The sequence below is a fragment of the Homo sapiens genome, chromosome 16 (genome assembly GCF_000001405.40).
Source record: "Homo sapiens chromosome 16, GRCh38.p14 Primary Assembly".
Classification (NCBI taxonomy): Eukaryota; Metazoa; Chordata; class Mammalia; order Primates; family Hominidae; genus Homo; species Homo sapiens.
The window spans coordinates 14,626,357-14,640,802 of NC_000016.10; the positions used below are offsets into that span (position 1 = coordinate 14,626,357).

General features: G+C 47.3%; 2 protein-coding genes across 16 annotated transcripts in view, besides 6 other annotated features; one reads left to right on the forward strand and one right to left on the reverse strand.

Moving 5' to 3' along the window:
* PARN (poly(A)-specific ribonuclease) overlaps positions 1-3,904 on the reverse strand; it is a 194,560-nt gene extending 190,656 nt beyond the window's left edge. For 8 of the 13 annotated variants that reach the window (XR_007064883.1, XR_007064882.1, XR_007064881.1 and 5 more), the window contains exons 1-5: positions 3,751-3,904; positions 3,241-3,318; positions 1,816-1,895; positions 913-980; positions 750-831 (exon numbers count right to left, since the gene is read on the reverse strand). Coding sequence is in view for 9 of the 13 variants with exons in the window: in NM_002582.4 (NP_002573.1) it covers positions 750-831; positions 913-980; positions 1,816-1,895; positions 3,241-3,318; positions 3,751-3,769 (327 nt within the window). In the remaining 4 variants the exon portion in view is untranslated. The remainder of the gene's footprint in view (positions 1-749; positions 832-912; positions 981-1,815; positions 1,896-3,240; positions 3,319-3,750) is intronic. The other 5 variants (XR_007064884.1, NM_001134477.3, XM_047434184.1 and 2 more) reach the window with 2 other exon arrangements.
* Positions 2,872-3,395: an enhancer, noted in NCBI's record as "NANOG-H3K27ac-H3K4me1 hESC enhancer chr16:14723085-14723608 (GRCh37/hg19 assembly coordinates)". NCBI's record gives its function as "activates a minimal SCP1, AML or CMV promoter by ChIP-STARR-seq in naive H9 embryonic stem cells {active_cell/tissue: H9 hESC(naive)}" and the evidence as "EXISTENCE:reporter gene assay evidence [ECO:0000049][PMID:30033119]".
* Positions 3,396-3,917: an enhancer, noted in NCBI's record as "NANOG-H3K27ac-H3K4me1 hESC enhancer chr16:14723609-14724130 (GRCh37/hg19 assembly coordinates)". NCBI's record gives its function as "activates a minimal SCP1, AML or CMV promoter by ChIP-STARR-seq in naive H9 embryonic stem cells {active_cell/tissue: H9 hESC(naive)}" and the evidence as "EXISTENCE:reporter gene assay evidence [ECO:0000049][PMID:30033119]".
* Positions 3,918-4,440: an enhancer, noted in NCBI's record as "NANOG-H3K27ac-H3K4me1 hESC enhancer chr16:14724131-14724653 (GRCh37/hg19 assembly coordinates)". NCBI's record gives its function as "activates a minimal SCP1, AML or CMV promoter by ChIP-STARR-seq in primed H9 embryonic stem cells {active_cell/tissue: H9 hESC(primed)}" and the evidence as "EXISTENCE:reporter gene assay evidence [ECO:0000049][PMID:30033119]".
* Positions 6,040-6,607: an enhancer, noted in NCBI's record as "NANOG-H3K27ac-H3K4me1 hESC enhancer chr16:14726253-14726820 (GRCh37/hg19 assembly coordinates)". NCBI's record gives its function as "activates a minimal SCP1, AML or CMV promoter by ChIP-STARR-seq in naive H9 embryonic stem cells {active_cell/tissue: H9 hESC(naive)}" and the evidence as "EXISTENCE:reporter gene assay evidence [ECO:0000049][PMID:30033119]".
* The window catches only part of BFAR (bifunctional apoptosis regulator), a 36,286-nt gene continuing 28,434 nt past the window's right edge, over positions 6,595-14,446 (forward strand). For all 3 annotated transcript variants that reach the window (NM_016561.3, XM_005255350.3, NM_001330500.2), the window contains exon 1: positions 6,595-6,662. The gene's annotated coding sequence lies outside the window, so the exon portion shown is untranslated. The remainder of the gene's footprint in view (positions 6,663-14,446) is intronic.
* Positions 6,608-7,177: an enhancer, noted in NCBI's record as "NANOG-H3K27ac-H3K4me1 hESC enhancer chr16:14726821-14727390 (GRCh37/hg19 assembly coordinates)". NCBI's record gives its function as "activates a minimal SCP1, AML or CMV promoter by ChIP-STARR-seq in naive and primed H9 embryonic stem cells {active_cell/tissue: H9 hESC(naive and primed)}" and the evidence as "EXISTENCE:reporter gene assay evidence [ECO:0000049][PMID:30033119]".
* Positions 9,833-10,686: an enhancer, noted in NCBI's record as "NANOG-H3K27ac hESC enhancer chr16:14730046-14730899 (GRCh37/hg19 assembly coordinates)". NCBI's record gives its function as "activates a minimal SCP1, AML or CMV promoter by ChIP-STARR-seq in naive H9 embryonic stem cells {active_cell/tissue: H9 hESC(naive)}" and the evidence as "EXISTENCE:reporter gene assay evidence [ECO:0000049][PMID:30033119]".

The following is a 14,446-nucleotide window of genomic DNA, read 5'->3' on the forward strand; positions in this document are numbered from 1 at the left end:
CAGGCTGGTCTCAGACTCCTGAGCTCAAGTGATTCTCCCGTCTTGGCCTCCAAAACTGCTAGGATTACAGGTGTAAACCACCACATCCAGCCAAGAAGCCTGCAAGTCTTGATGTGTAGGTGGTTCAACTTGGGGGTAAAATAATAAAAATCCCAAATGGAGTTACGAAACTATGTTCTCAAATTCAGCTTTAGAATTACTAAACCTCATGTTCTCATATCTGTCTGTCTGTCTCTGCATCTTATTCCTTAATTCATTCTTTTTTTTTTTTTTGAGCCAGAGTCTCGCTCTGTTGCCCAAGCTGGAGTGCAGGGGCGTGATCTCGGCTCACTGCAACCTCCACCTCCCAGGTTCACGCCATTCTCCTGCCTCAGCCTCCCTAAGTAGCTGGGATTACAGGCACCCATGACCACACTCGGCAAATTTTTTTTTTTGTATTTTTAGTAGAGACAGGGTTTCACCATGTTAGCCAGGATGGTCTCGATCTCCTGACCTCATGATCCGCCCTCCCCGGCCTCCCAAAGTGCTGGGATTATAGGCATGAGCCGCCGTACCTGGCCCTCCTTAATTCATTCTACAGCAAAGGAGGAGATAACAGGGTCATGAATTTATTACCCTAAAACTGAAGGTCAAAGGTGAAATGATTTGCCCCAAAGCCCAAAGTTAATAGAGAACCAAATTCTGATTTCACATTTCCATGCTGCCTCATCAGCAATTCAGAAAAGAAAAATCTCAATTATGCTACTTACCTGACAAACAAATTTGACATCTGGTGAGGATCTATTGAAGGGTTTCGGGAAAACATAGAAGTTAAATGACTTCGTTATATACCTGGGATAAGATAAAAGGAGACTTAGGAGGTGACATTGTGCCACAAAAACGGAATTCCCAACGTTTGTTAACACAACCTACTTTGAATCTGTGTAGTCATACTTAAAAGTGCAAAGGCCAAACTGAAATAGCAAAAAGTCCATGGAATGCTGGAAAAGGGAAATAAAACATCTGTCACAAAAGTGCTGCATATTCCATGTGAGCATAGCATTCTCAAACAGGTGGGCTTTCTGAATTACTCAATGAGACTTCAGCAGAATACTTCCAATTAGAACAGATTACACATATGAATCAGAAGCATTATTAATTTGTATACATTTCATAATACTTTTCCCATTTAAGGACCTATTTATCCATCATCCAAAGAATCATATTAGGTCTATTTCCAAATGATTAAAATAACTGCCTCATATTTCCTATGAATCAAATTAACACTGAAAATGCTAAACTTTCCCCAAAATATTTTCCAGCAAACAATTATTTTTGCTGTTTTAAATATCATTAAAATAACACTTTAAGGCCAGGTGTGGTGGCTCACACCTGTAATCCCAGCACTTTGGGAGGCTAAAGCAGGAGGATCATTTGACGCCAGAAGTTCGAGACCAGCCTGGTCAACAAAGTGAGACCGATCTCTACAAAAGAATATGTAAAAATTAAAAAAAATAATAATAATTGGCTGGGCACAGTGGCTTGCGCCTGTAGTCCCAACTACTTGGGAGGCTGTGGCAGGAGAATCAGTTGAGCCAGGAGTTCAAGGCTCCACAGAGCAGTGATCACGCCACTGCACCCCAGCCTGGGTGACAGAGCGAGACCTTGTCTCTAAAACAAGACAAAACAAAAAAAAAAATCACTTCATGGCTAGGTTTGAGGAGAAAATACTGCACTTACAAAACCTTAATGCACAAGTTTAGTAACAATATTTATCATTTAACATAAGGAAGACTAACATGAGAAAGAAAAAGATTTCCTAGCACATCCACTTGCCTTTTTAAGCTTCTGATACCTCTCTTCTGGAGTGTCAAAACCATTTGTTAATGCAGAGACTGAAGGTCCATCACTGATTCCTAGATTTTAAGAAATAAAAATTTTTAGCTTACTAATAAATACTAACGTAAAAATGCCAGTCAATCATTCAGTGCCTCTATAATGTCGTATCACGAATTAAGGTTACTTGGAAGCACTCCCTAACTTACTTTTTTAAAATAAGCATTAATTTCAGTGGCCACCAGGTTAAACCCTCTAATAATGAACTTAGAGATGCGAATGTTTCAACATGAGAATAGGCAGTTCCAGCGTCTAAAACATGACTTAAAACACAGTAATCATGTAAGAAAACAATCTCTATGCTTGAATAAGTTTTGCTGCTTTAAAAGATTCCTGTATAAACAGACATCAATAAATCCCTAAGTATATTATTGCCAGAGTTCCAGTCTTGGTCAAGAGTTTGGAGTGGTTAATATCTATGCAAAGAATGTATCTTCAAGATTAAGAGAAAATTATTTCTCTAAGTGAAAACTCTTAGCTTCCTAGGGAAGTGATTCCAACTAGACACTACCTAAAGCCAAGGATACTATTTACCCCTGCATGGATTCCTTCATGATTCAAACATGGAAAATCAGACAGCAAAAATGGATATCCATATCAAAGGGAGTGAACCGTTCATATTGACATCAGCAATTTAAAAACTAGTCTTTGCTCCCCCTAAAAAAGGGGAAAAAAAATTTGCAACTTTAAGTGTCAGTGAAGTATTTCCTGTATACACACCTGTTGAGGCAGGCAATGAACACGTCCACTAATGCATAAAGAAATATCTCATTTATCTGCAAAAACCTGACCCTAGCCGGTCACAAAAGGGCAAATATTGTAAGATTCCACTTATATGAGATGTTAAGGGCAGTCAAATTCAGAGACAAATGGCGGTTGCTAAAGGCTGGGCGAAAGGAGAAATGGGGAGTTTAATGTGTAAAGAGTTTCAGACTGTGAAGATGAAGAAGTCCTAGAGATGGATGGTGATGTTTGCACAGCAATGTGAATGTACTTAATGCCACTTAACTGTAAAGCCACTTAAAATGGCAAATTTCATGTTATACCTATTTTACAATCAAGAAAAAAAACAGTCTGACCCTAATCCTCAAGCTCTCTGCAATGTACACGCCGCACTGTTTTAAGCAGCATCAAAACCATCATCTCTATCTGAGATCCTGAGTCCAATCACAAACCTACGGCGTATCTTCATTTCTTTCGTGCTTTTGAAACGTTTAAAGGGTAACACTGAGACCTGTGAAACCCGCCCAAGGCTACTAACAGCAAGAGGCCACCACCAAGCATAAGAAGTTGGGGGCTGGGGGATTGAAGGAGCCTTGGCTATGCACTGCAAAGTGCTAGCCTGAGCTTGCAAGGGAGGGATACCTGAAAACTCCCCATCGATGGCGAAGAAGTCGGCCTCCTCTATGGCCTGGTACACTTTGTGAAGATTACTCTTAAAATCTGCGGAGAAACCGAAAAGAGGCTCAGAACCAGTGGCCTGAATTCCTGCTAAGGGGAGAGGGAAGGAGGGCCGAGGAGCTCCCGAGGCTGAGAGCCGGAAGGGGAAAAGTCCCGGAGGTGTGCACCGGGGCGAGGGGAATCAAGTCCTCGAGGGGTGCATGGGTCAGGGGGGACAAGCCCCGGGGGGTGCCCGGCCCGGAGAAGGACAAGGCCCCGGATGGTGCCGGGGTTGGAGGAGTAAGTACAAGGCTCCTAGGGTGCACGGTCCGCAGCCGGAAAAGACCCCAAGAGGCGCACCGGCTTAAGGAGGGAAAAGCCCTGAGGGGCTGCCTCAGCCCCAGGCCCAGCCAAACACGCCGGCCATGGTCTCGGCCTAGCAGGCCAGGGGCAGCCGGGTGTGGGGAGGCGGGGAGGTGTACGGCGGACACGCACTGCTCCTGATTATCTCCATTCTGCAGAGTGGCCGGAACCTTGGCCCCACCCGGGCCCGCGCCCGCCTCAGCGGTTCTACTCGCCGAATTCCGCGGCGACTGCGGCAGTAGCTGAGGCAGCCGCAGCGGTGACGCCGGCCGCGACTTCCGGAAACAGCGCGCGCCTGCTGCGCTTGCGTCAGCGCCTGCGCGGCGGCGGGGGCGGGGCCAAGGCTGGGCTCCTTTCCCTCCTTATAGGGACAGGGGAGGGGCGTGGCTATCGAAGTCCCCAAGGCGTGGCCTAATTTGTGCGGGCTTTCACTTCAGTAGAAAAAATGTGCATGTCTCGACATCCAGTCGACCAGGAAATACTGACTGGGTTTCTGTGATATGCTAGCCACTCTTACAGGGGTGGAGATACAGTGATGAACAGGAAGACGTGCTCCCTGCCCCATTGTAGCTTAAACTTGGGGTAAGGGGAAATTCAGGCAGGAGTGAAACTTGCCATTTGGTAACACATGAAAATCGCTATTAAGAAAAAGAGCGGGGCGATGTAATAGAGAATAATGGGATCCGGGTGCGGTGGCTCACGCCTGTAAGCCTAACACTTTGGGAACCCGAGGCGGGAGGATCCGTTGAACTGAAGAGTTCGAGACCAGCCTGGACAGCATAGTGAGACCTGTCTCTTAAAAAAATAAAATTAGGCCGGACCCGGTGGCTTATGCCTGTAATCCCAGCACTTTGGAAGGCCGAGGCGGGCGGATCACGAGATCAGGAGTTCGAGACCAGCCTGGCCAACATAGTGAAACCCTGTCTCTACTAAAAATATAAAAATTGGCTGGGCTTGGTGACTCATGCCTGTAATCCTAGCGATTTGGGAGGCAGAAGCGGGCGGATTACCTGAGGTCAGAAGTTCAAGAGCAGCCTGGCCAACATGGTGAAACCCTGTCTCTATTAAAAATACAAAAAATTAGCCGGGTGCAGTGGTGCGCGCCTGTAATCCCAGCTATTCGGGAAGCTGAGGCAGGAGAATCTCTTGAACCTGGGAGGCGGAGGTTGCTGTGAACCGAGATCACGCCACTGCACTCCAGCCTGGGTGACAGAACGAGACTTGTTTTCAAAAAAAAAATTAAATTAAATTAAAAGAATAATAGGGGTTGTTACTTAGGTGATCACGGAAAGCAAAGCTGAGACCCTTAGCTACTGCATTAGCCTCTGGGAATACTATGTCGAGTGCAACATATGAGGCCCGGCCCTAATGGAATTGTATGTTGGTTTGGGGTTGCTGTTCTCCAATGCCTAGCACTGGGCTGACACGTAGTAGACACTCAATAAGCATGGGTTGAATGAATACATTCAGGTTGGTCTTTCACAAAAGCCAACTATGAAAAGTTGGTTAGTGCCGGATGCGATGGCTCACGCCTGTGATCCTGGCACTTTGGGAGGCCGAGGCAGGCGGATTGCTTGAGGCCAGGAGCTCGAGACCAGCCTGGGCAACACGGTGAAACCCCATCTCTACTAAAATACAAAGAATTAGCCTGGCGTGGTGGCGCACCCCTGTAGTCCCAGCTACTCGGGAGGCTGAGGCAGGAGAACTGCTTGAACCCGGGAGGCGGAGGTTGCAGTGAGCCAAGATTGTGCCACTGCACTCCAACCTGGGCGACAGAGCGAGACTCCGTCTCCAAAACAAACAAACGAACAAAAGGAAAGTTGATTAGAAGACCTATTTTCAAAATCTATCTCAGCCACTTATTAGTTCTGGAATGCATTAAACCTTCCTAAACCTCAATTTCCTGGGATTGTATTGAGGCTCAGTGGTGCTAATGAATGTGAACTGGGAAGCAGCGTATTAATAAATCTGTATAAATAACTGTTTAATGGGGGCCTGGCGCCATGACTCACACCTGTAATCCCAGCGTTTTCGGGGGCTGAGGCAGGAGAATCGCCTGAACCCAGGAGTTCCAGACCAGCCTGGGGAAAAGAGCGAGACCCTGTCTCCATAAAAATAAAATGAAATTTTAAAATGAGCCAGGCGTGGTTGTGCACGCCCGTAGTCCCAACTATTCACGAGGCTGAGGTGGGATAATCGCTTGAACCCGGGAGGCGGAGGTTGCAGTGAGCCAAGATCGTGCCACTGTACGCCAGCCTGGCGGGTGAGAGTGAGACTCTGTCTCAAAAACAAACAACAACAACAAAACAAAACCAAATAATCAGCATAAGTTCTAGACGCTGTGACCTAGACGCTGGGAAGGGGCGAAACGTGGTGATAAGAAAACCATTTCAAGCTGTACGAGGTGGCTCACGCCTGTAATCGCAGCACTTTGTAAGGCTGAGGCAGGAGGATCCCTTGACGCCATATGTTCAAGATCAGCCTGGAAAACGCAGCGAGACCCCATCTCTACGAAAAAAAAAATATTTTAATAGAAATAAAAGTCATTTAATTCCGATTCTTAACACCGTAAATTGAACGTATAGTCCTGTGATTTTCTACATAAAATGTGAAGGCAAAAAATAACTGTAGAGAGTACGGTGCGGCCTTGTAATATTTTAATTTCTAGGCAAAGCTTGTATCCTCCGGATACAAGAACAGCCGCCCAGGAGGAGCGGAAACTGACACACACCCGTCACCCCTTGGGCTGTGACTGCCGAGCCCGGGTACTCGGTCTCTGGGTGAAGAGGAAGGGGCGGGACCGGCGGTATTACGCATGCGCCCACTTCCTCCGGCTGGGAGTGGCCGCTCTAGGCAGCGGGGAGGTCGCGGGGTTGAGGGGGGTTGTGAAAGGAGAGCGGCCTCTCCTCTATGGTCACGGGGCCGGGGCACGCTTCCCCCACTCTGTCTTGTTACTTCCGGTAGCGAAGCCTCTCCCTCTTCCTCTGCTCCCGCGGGGTCTGTGCTGAGAATAATGGCCCGGTTGGCCCGGGACGAGTGGAATGGTAAGCCGCGACACGGCTGGGGGGTGCTGAGGGGGCGACTCGGGCTTGATATCGGGGAGTGATGTGGAAGACGGAGCGGGAATCCCTTCTGCGGAGCCTCCCCAGCCGGGTCGTAGGAGGCGCGCGGGGCCTCTCCTCACGCAGGCCCGAGTCCTGAGCATCCCCACTCCTGGCCGCGGGGTTCGGACCCCAGCTTGGCCAACTGCGCTATCCCTTCCCGAGAGCCCCACGTCCGCACAGCCGGTCGCTGGGCCTCGCCTGCGTCCTTTCGGGGGTCAGGGTCAGAGCCACTCCCTCCTGGGGCTCCCTAGGGCGGGAAGGAGGAGGGGTCGCTTCCAAACACCTTGGAGGGGAACCACGGGGCGCCTGCCCGCCAGGAGCGCTTGCCACACCCTGCAACAGCCGGACCAGAATTGATGAGGCTTCTGATAGTCGCCACGCTGAGTTTACGGTCTAATTGTCGAGGCACGTTCCTGGCCTAAGGCGGAGCGATTGTGCCCATTCTTTAAAGTAGGGTGACCGAAGCGCAGAAGGGAGAAAGTGAAATCCCAAAGTCACACTGGGGCCAGGCAAGAACTCGGCTCTTCTGATTCTGCGACTTGCGGCTCGGAAATAACTTAGGCAAAAGAGAATTTTCTTTTTTTTCTTTTTAGAGACGGAGTCTTGCCCTGCCGCCCAGGCTGGAGTGCGGTGGAGCAATCTCGGCTCACTGCAACCTCCGCCTCCCAGGTTCAAGCGATTCTCTTGCCTCAGCCTTCTGAGTAGCTGGGATTACGGGCCCGCGTAACCACGCCCGGCTGATTTTTGTATTTTTAGTAGAGACGGGGTTTCACCATGTTGGTCAGACTGTTCTCGAACTCCTGGCCTCAAGTGACCCACTCGCCTCGGCCTCCCAAAGTGGGGAGATTACAGGCGTGAGCCACCGCGCCCGGCCGAGAATTGTCTTTTATTAAAAAAGCCGGCGGGAGGGGGCGACAGATGAGAGTCAGGTTGTGTCTAAACGGGGACCTTTGGAGGGGCAGGAGGCAGCATCCCAGCTTCCGCGGAAAACAGAGTGAGAGCCTAGACGCTGTTAAGCCCTCAACTGTCGCCATTGGGTCCTCCCCGCCGAAGCCCATTGGTCGGTCCTTTGCAAGGGGGGTGGTCTTGATGTCATGCTCCAAATCGCCAATAGGAAAGAGCTTTACTCTCTTCCCAGGACACACCCCCGAGCCGGCAGGGACTGCACGTGCTGATGGGGTTGTTTTGTTTGTTCTTGTCGCTGCTGTTTTCTCAACATCCAGCCTGGGTGTATCCTGACAGGTGTGCTCTGCATTTCCCTATATCCATAAACTTGATGGAGACATTGTATTTCTCCAGGGCAGTTCTTTTTGTTTGCTTTTTGGTTCCAGCGTTTGGCAGTGCCACTAAGTAGGTAGCCATCACTCAATAAATGCTGCTATTGATAATTCTGTTAATAATGCCGATCAGCCCCACACAGCAAACTTTGAGTACCTGTAGATAGTTTGTCATCTAAACCTCACAGCAGGGCGGGGCTCCGCAGCTCACGCCTGTAATCCCAGCAGTTTGGGAGGCAGAAGTGGGAGTATCCCTTGAGCCCAGGAGACCAGACCAACCTAGGCAACATAGGGAGACGCTGTCTCTTAAAAAAATTTTTTTAAAGTAAACCTCCCAACAGCCCTTCGAAGTTGACATGATTATCCTAGACGGATCAGTGGGAAATAGGAAGTTTAGGAAGAATAAATCGTGACGCGATTTGGAACCCAGATCAGTGTCACTCCTAAGACCATACTGTTTCAACTCTACCAGCCTAAGGAAATTATAATCCAGGAGATGAGAAAACGTACACAAATAAAAGTTATGCTAATGCACAGAGACAAGAAAGATTAATTTGGGTGTTGAGGAGTTAGTCATTAAAGACTTTCAAGTGACAGTTGATTTGGGTCTTTCCAGTTGGATACTTTTGACCCAGCGATGTTGTGAAGTTGTGTTACAGGTGAAGGGAACAATGTGAGGATAAGGAAAAATGTCCAAGGCCAGGCACGGTGGCTCACTCCTGTAATCCCTGCACTTTGGGATGCCAAGGCGGGCAGATTGCTTGAGCTCAGGTGTTCAAGATCAGCTTGGGATACATGGTGAAACCCTGTCTCTACTAAAAATACAAAAATTAGCTGGGCATGGTGGTGGACGCCTGTAGTTCCAGCTACTTGTGAGGCTGAGAAACAAGAATCGCAGGAACCCAGGAGGCAGATGTTGCAGTGAGCCGAGATTGTGCCACTGCACTCCAGCCTGGGCGACAGAGTGAGACTCAGTCTCAAAGACATAAAAGATTGAAAACAAACAAAAACCAATAGTTAAAGTGCGTGTAACTTGGTAACTACCCATAGTTTTTTATAGCTATCTGAGTTACTGACTTGGTAACTAACCATAGTTTTTGATAGCTGAGTTACTGAACATCTACAGAGTATAGTACAGGATAGGTCCTTGCATATATGCCACGAGAAATGAAAGAGGGCAGGCTCCAGCGAGAGCCAGGATAGCCTTCTCAGCCCGCCTTCGTCTTACCCTACACCACCTAGGGCAATAAATCACAGGGCTTTAAGGTCTAGGCAGCAAGTCAGCATCTAGAGGAGCTAGTCACCTTTGCTCCACTGGTTTCTGACCCTGTCCAGAAAAAAAATCTAGTTGGAGTTTGAAAACTCAATGTTTTATACAGTAAGTGACTGGAAATGCTTCTCTCTCTTTTTTTTTTTTTAAGATGGAGTCCCACACCCAGCTAATTTTAATATTTTTAGTAGATACGGGGTTTCACCATATTGGCCAGGCTGGTCTCGAACTCCTGACCTCTTGATCCACCCGCCTCGGCCTCCCAAAGTGGTGGGATTACAGGCATGAGCCACTGCCCCGGCCTAATGCTTCTCTTATGTTAATGGGAGAGCCGGCTTTTGTCTGTTCTGTTTGCGGTTCCTGAACCTTGCCTTGCTTACATTTGAGCACGTTTTAATTTTGTAGTCACTATAAATGGGTGTGCACTCTAGATATTTAATAATTTCTGTAGTATTCTGCTGGTAGTTATAGTGATGTCTCCAGGAATGGACCTGGAGTGTCAGAAATAGGGGTTTCCCCCATGAAGGGGTGGGTTGCCCCTCCACACCTGTGGGTGTTTCTCGTTAGGTGGAACGAGAGACTTGGAAAAGAAAAAGACACAAAGTATAGAGAAAGAAATAAGGAGGCCCAGGAGACCAGCGTTCAGCATATGGAGGATCCCGCCAGCCTCTGAGTTTCCTTAGTATTTATTGATCATTCTTGGGTGTTTCTCAGAGAGGGGGATGTGGCAGGGTCAGGATAATAGTGGAGAGAAGGTCAGCAGATAAACATGTGAACAAAGGTCTCTGCATCATAGACAAGGTAAAGAATTAAATGCTGTGCTTTAGATATGCATACACATAAACATCTCAATGCCTTACAGAGCGGTATTGTTGCCTGCATGTCCCACCTCCAGCCCTAAGGCGGTTTTCCCCTATCTCAGTAGATGGAACATACAATCGGGTTTTATACCAAGACATTCCATTGCCCAGGGACGGGCAGGAGACAGATGCCTTCCTCTTGGCTCAACTGCAAAGAGGCATGCCTTCCTCTTATGCTAATCCTCCTCAGCACAGACCCTTTACGGGTGTCGGGCTGGGGGACGGTCAGGTCTTTCCCTTCCCAAGAGGCCATATTTCAGACTATCACATGGGGAGAAACCTTAGACAATACCTGGCTTTCCTAGGCAGAGGTCCCTGCGGGCTTCCGCAGTGTTTGCGTCCCTGGGTACTTGAGATTAGGGAGTGGTGATGACTCTTAAGGAGTATGCTGCCTTCAAGCATCTGTTTAACAAAGCACATCTTGTACCGCCCGTAATCCATTTAACCCTGAGTTGACACAGCACGTGTTTCAGAGAGCACGGGGTTGGGGGTAAGGTTATAGATTAACAGCATCTCAAGGCAGAAGAATTTTTCTTAGTACAGAACAAAATGGAGTCTCCTATGTCTATCTCTTTCTATACAGACACAGTAACAATCTGATCTCTCTTTCTTTTCCCCCCACCCCCACCCATTCCTACCCCTATTTCTATTGTAAATGTCTCTGCATAGTCACCCTAACAGCTACCAGCTAGAGTTCATGTTCCAAAATGCTGTGTGGTCAAATGCTAGTTTGTTTTTCTCAGCTGTGCAGTAGCATCTCTATGATGTGGCCTAGATGATAAAGGAGTAAATCAGTCCTTTGAACTAATAACCGTTATTGATTACTTTATCAGGATAATGGCGTATTAGGAAGACAGGCTTTAAGTCAGACCATGATTTTTTTTTTTCTTTTGGTGTTTCCGCCTGGTTTCCAACCAGGGACCAGACCATGATTTAAAACATGGCTCTGCCCTTTACTAGTTAGAACTCCATTTTCTCATCTGTAAAATGAACATGGTAGTAATGCTTATTCCATATGATTGTTATGTCCTTAATATTATAAGGCCTCCGTAAATATTAATAATTGTCGCGGGGTGCAATGGCTCACGCCTGTAAATCCCAGCACTTTGAGAGGCCACGGCAGGCAGATCACCTGAGGTCAGGAGTTTGAGACCAGCCTGGCCAACATGGTGAAACCCCATCTCTACGAAAAATTTAGCCAGGCATGGTGGCGCCTGCTTGTAATCCCAGCTACTCGGGAGGCTGAGGCAGGAGAATCGCTTGAACACAGGAGGCAGAGGTTGAGGTGAGCCAAAATTGTGCCACTGCACTCCAGCCTGGGTGACAGAGCAAGACTCCATCTCAGAAAAAAAAAAAAAGTCATTTTTTTTTCCTGCAATGTATTTTATTTCCAATGCTGTATTTTCCCTGCTGCTAGAGAAGTTTAATTTCTCTCTTTGATTTTTTTTTTCAGTTTGTACCCTGGAAAAATAAGGTGATAAATACAGGCAATCATTGCGAAGTAAAGAAGTCATCTATTGTCAGTTAATATATAACGAGAGAATTTAGCCTAACCAGAGGCCCATGGAAGCCAAAATCTTTCTATTCTTACACTGAACCTTCTTGCTGAGAAACAATTGAGGTCAGCTGGGCTCATGCCATAATCCCAGCCCTTTGGGAAGCTGAGACCAGATGATTGCTTGAGCCCAGGAACTCGAGACCATCATGGACAACTTAACAAGACCCTGTCTATACAAAAAAAATTTTAATTAGCTGGGTGTGGTGGCACATGCCTATGGTCCCAGCTACTTGGGAGGCTGAGGTGGGAGGATCACTGGAGCCCGAAAGTTCAAGCCCACAGTGATCCATGATTGCACCACTGCCCTCCAGGCCTGGGCAACAGAGTGAGACCCTGTCTCTAAAAAAGAAGAAATGATTGAAATCATATTTTTCAGGCTGGACTTCCAATAAAGTAGCCCTTAAAAGGATCATTCTTAAAATATTAGCCATATACAATGGTCATAATAAATGTATGTTGAGTGAAGGGGTGCAACCATGATCATATACTGCTGAACCAAGTGGTTTAAAAATTACGATTTCTTTATTTTCCCTGTGATTCTGGATAAAGATTACAATTTCTAAAGAGTTAACAATCATTACATCACAAGATCTTTATAAGTAAGGGTATAAAAATTCTTAGCCTGGGTGCAGTGGCTCACGCCTGTAATCCCAACACTTTGGGAGGCCAAGATGGGTGGATCACGTGAGGTCAGGAGTTTGAAACCAGTCTGGCCAACGTGGCAAACCCCATCTCTATTAAAAATACAAAAATTAGCCAGGCATGGTGCTGGGCGCCTGTAATCCCAGCTACTCAGGAGGCTGAGGCATGAGAATTGCTTGAATCCAGGAGGCGGAGGTTGCAGTGAGCCGAGATTGCACCACTGCACTGTAGCTTGGGCAACAGAGTAAGACTTGTCTCAAAAAGAAAAAAAAAAAAAGAAAAATTCTTAAACTCAGAATTAATGATTTCTCTTTAATAAACGCAGTAAGAATGATTGTATTAATTGACTTTCCTAAGTGTTAATTGGACAGCTAAAGAAGCAAACAGGGTGCCACTGCCTCCTGGAGAATAGCCCTCTGGATAGATCCATAGATGATCATTCAAATTCACCAACTCAGAAAAACAAGTTCCTTTGTAGAGACCGGGTTTCACCATGTTGCCCAGGCTGGCAGGCTGGTAGGCTGGTCTCCAACTCCTGGAATCAAGCAGTCCACCCGCCTCAGCCTCCCAAAGTCCAGGGAAGAATAGCCACGTTCATCCCAGCACCCCAGAACTAAGAAATAAGTTCTTTTTTTTTTTTCAGACAGAGTCTCGCTGTGTCACCCAGGCTGGAGTGCAGTGGTGCAATCTTGTATCACTGCATCCTCCACGTCCTGGGTGCAAATGATTATCCTGCCTCAACCTCCTGAGTAGCTGGGATTACAGTCGTGCACCACCATGCCCGGCTAATTTTTGTATTTTTGGTAGAGATGGAGTTTCACCACGTTGACCAGGCTTGTCTCGAATTCCTAACCTCAGGTGATCCGCCCACCTCCATTTTGGTAGACAGAGCCTCCTAAAGTGCTAGGATTACAGGCGTGAGCCACCACGCCAGGCCAGAAACAAGTTCTTTAGTTACATGCATCATTGGGAGATTGTGTGTGTTCCCAGTCTTTCCTTTTCTTTTAGGGATTTAAAGATAATTATACTTTGTCAGTTAGGCATGTCTTCAGGAAAACATAGAGAAGGTCATGTTGATTATATATCTTGGAATTGTCCAGATCCTCAGAGATTATGATATTGGTTTCCTGTCAGTTGTGCCAACAATGATAAGTAACGACCTGACGTGAAATCAAGAGAGAGGAAAGCTCTGGTCAGGCACAGTGACTCAAACCTGTAACCCCAGCATTTTGGGAGGTCGCGGTAGGCAGATTGCTTGAGTTTAGGAGTTCGAGATCAGCCTGGGCAACATGGCAAAATCCCATCTCTGCAGAAAATTAGCCAGGTGTGGTGGCGCACACCTGTAGTCCAGGCTACATAGGAGGCTGAGGCAGGAGGATCACCTGAGCCTGGGGAGGTCGAGGCTACAGTGAGCCATGATCTCACCACTGCATTCCAGCCTGGGCAACAGAGTGAGACCTAGCTCCAAAAAAAAAAAAAAGAAGAAGAGAGAGAGAGAGGAAAGCTCGAAGCTGACAGAACTCCAAAAGCTAACTAGCCTAAAGCCAAGCTGCCTAGAAACAACCATATATACCCATTAGTACACTTGGAAGAAGGCATCACATTATGGGACAGGGGATGAAAGCTCGGGGGTCAGGCAGGTAACAGAACTGAAATGGACAGGTGGGAGAGGAGTGTAGCAAGCTGACGCTGGCACGGCTGCTGAGTTCCTCTGCTCGAGCTGATCTTGTCATGCGTGATGCGATTCCAGTATTGCCAGATCTCTGGGTTTTTGTTTTTGTTTTTTTTCAAGAGAAGCCAGGAATCTAGATTTTTATGTCATATCAGATTTTTTTTTGTAAATGCTGGCACCTCATTTAACTTAGAAAAGGGAGAAAAAACACCAGGTGAAGGAAAGCCTCCCTACAGGCCAGGTGTTGCCCTGGTAGGGCGGTGGCTACTGGTGGTGAGACTGTTCCAGGACACGGAAGATGGATGATGATGTTAATAATGATGCGTCACCGTGGTGAGGCTCACCTGCTTCCTTATAACCACTGCAAGAGGCAGAAGTGTGTCGCACATTAACACCCTCTTATCCCAGTAGATCAGCAGTAGCTCTTAACCGCCTCTGGGAGTTG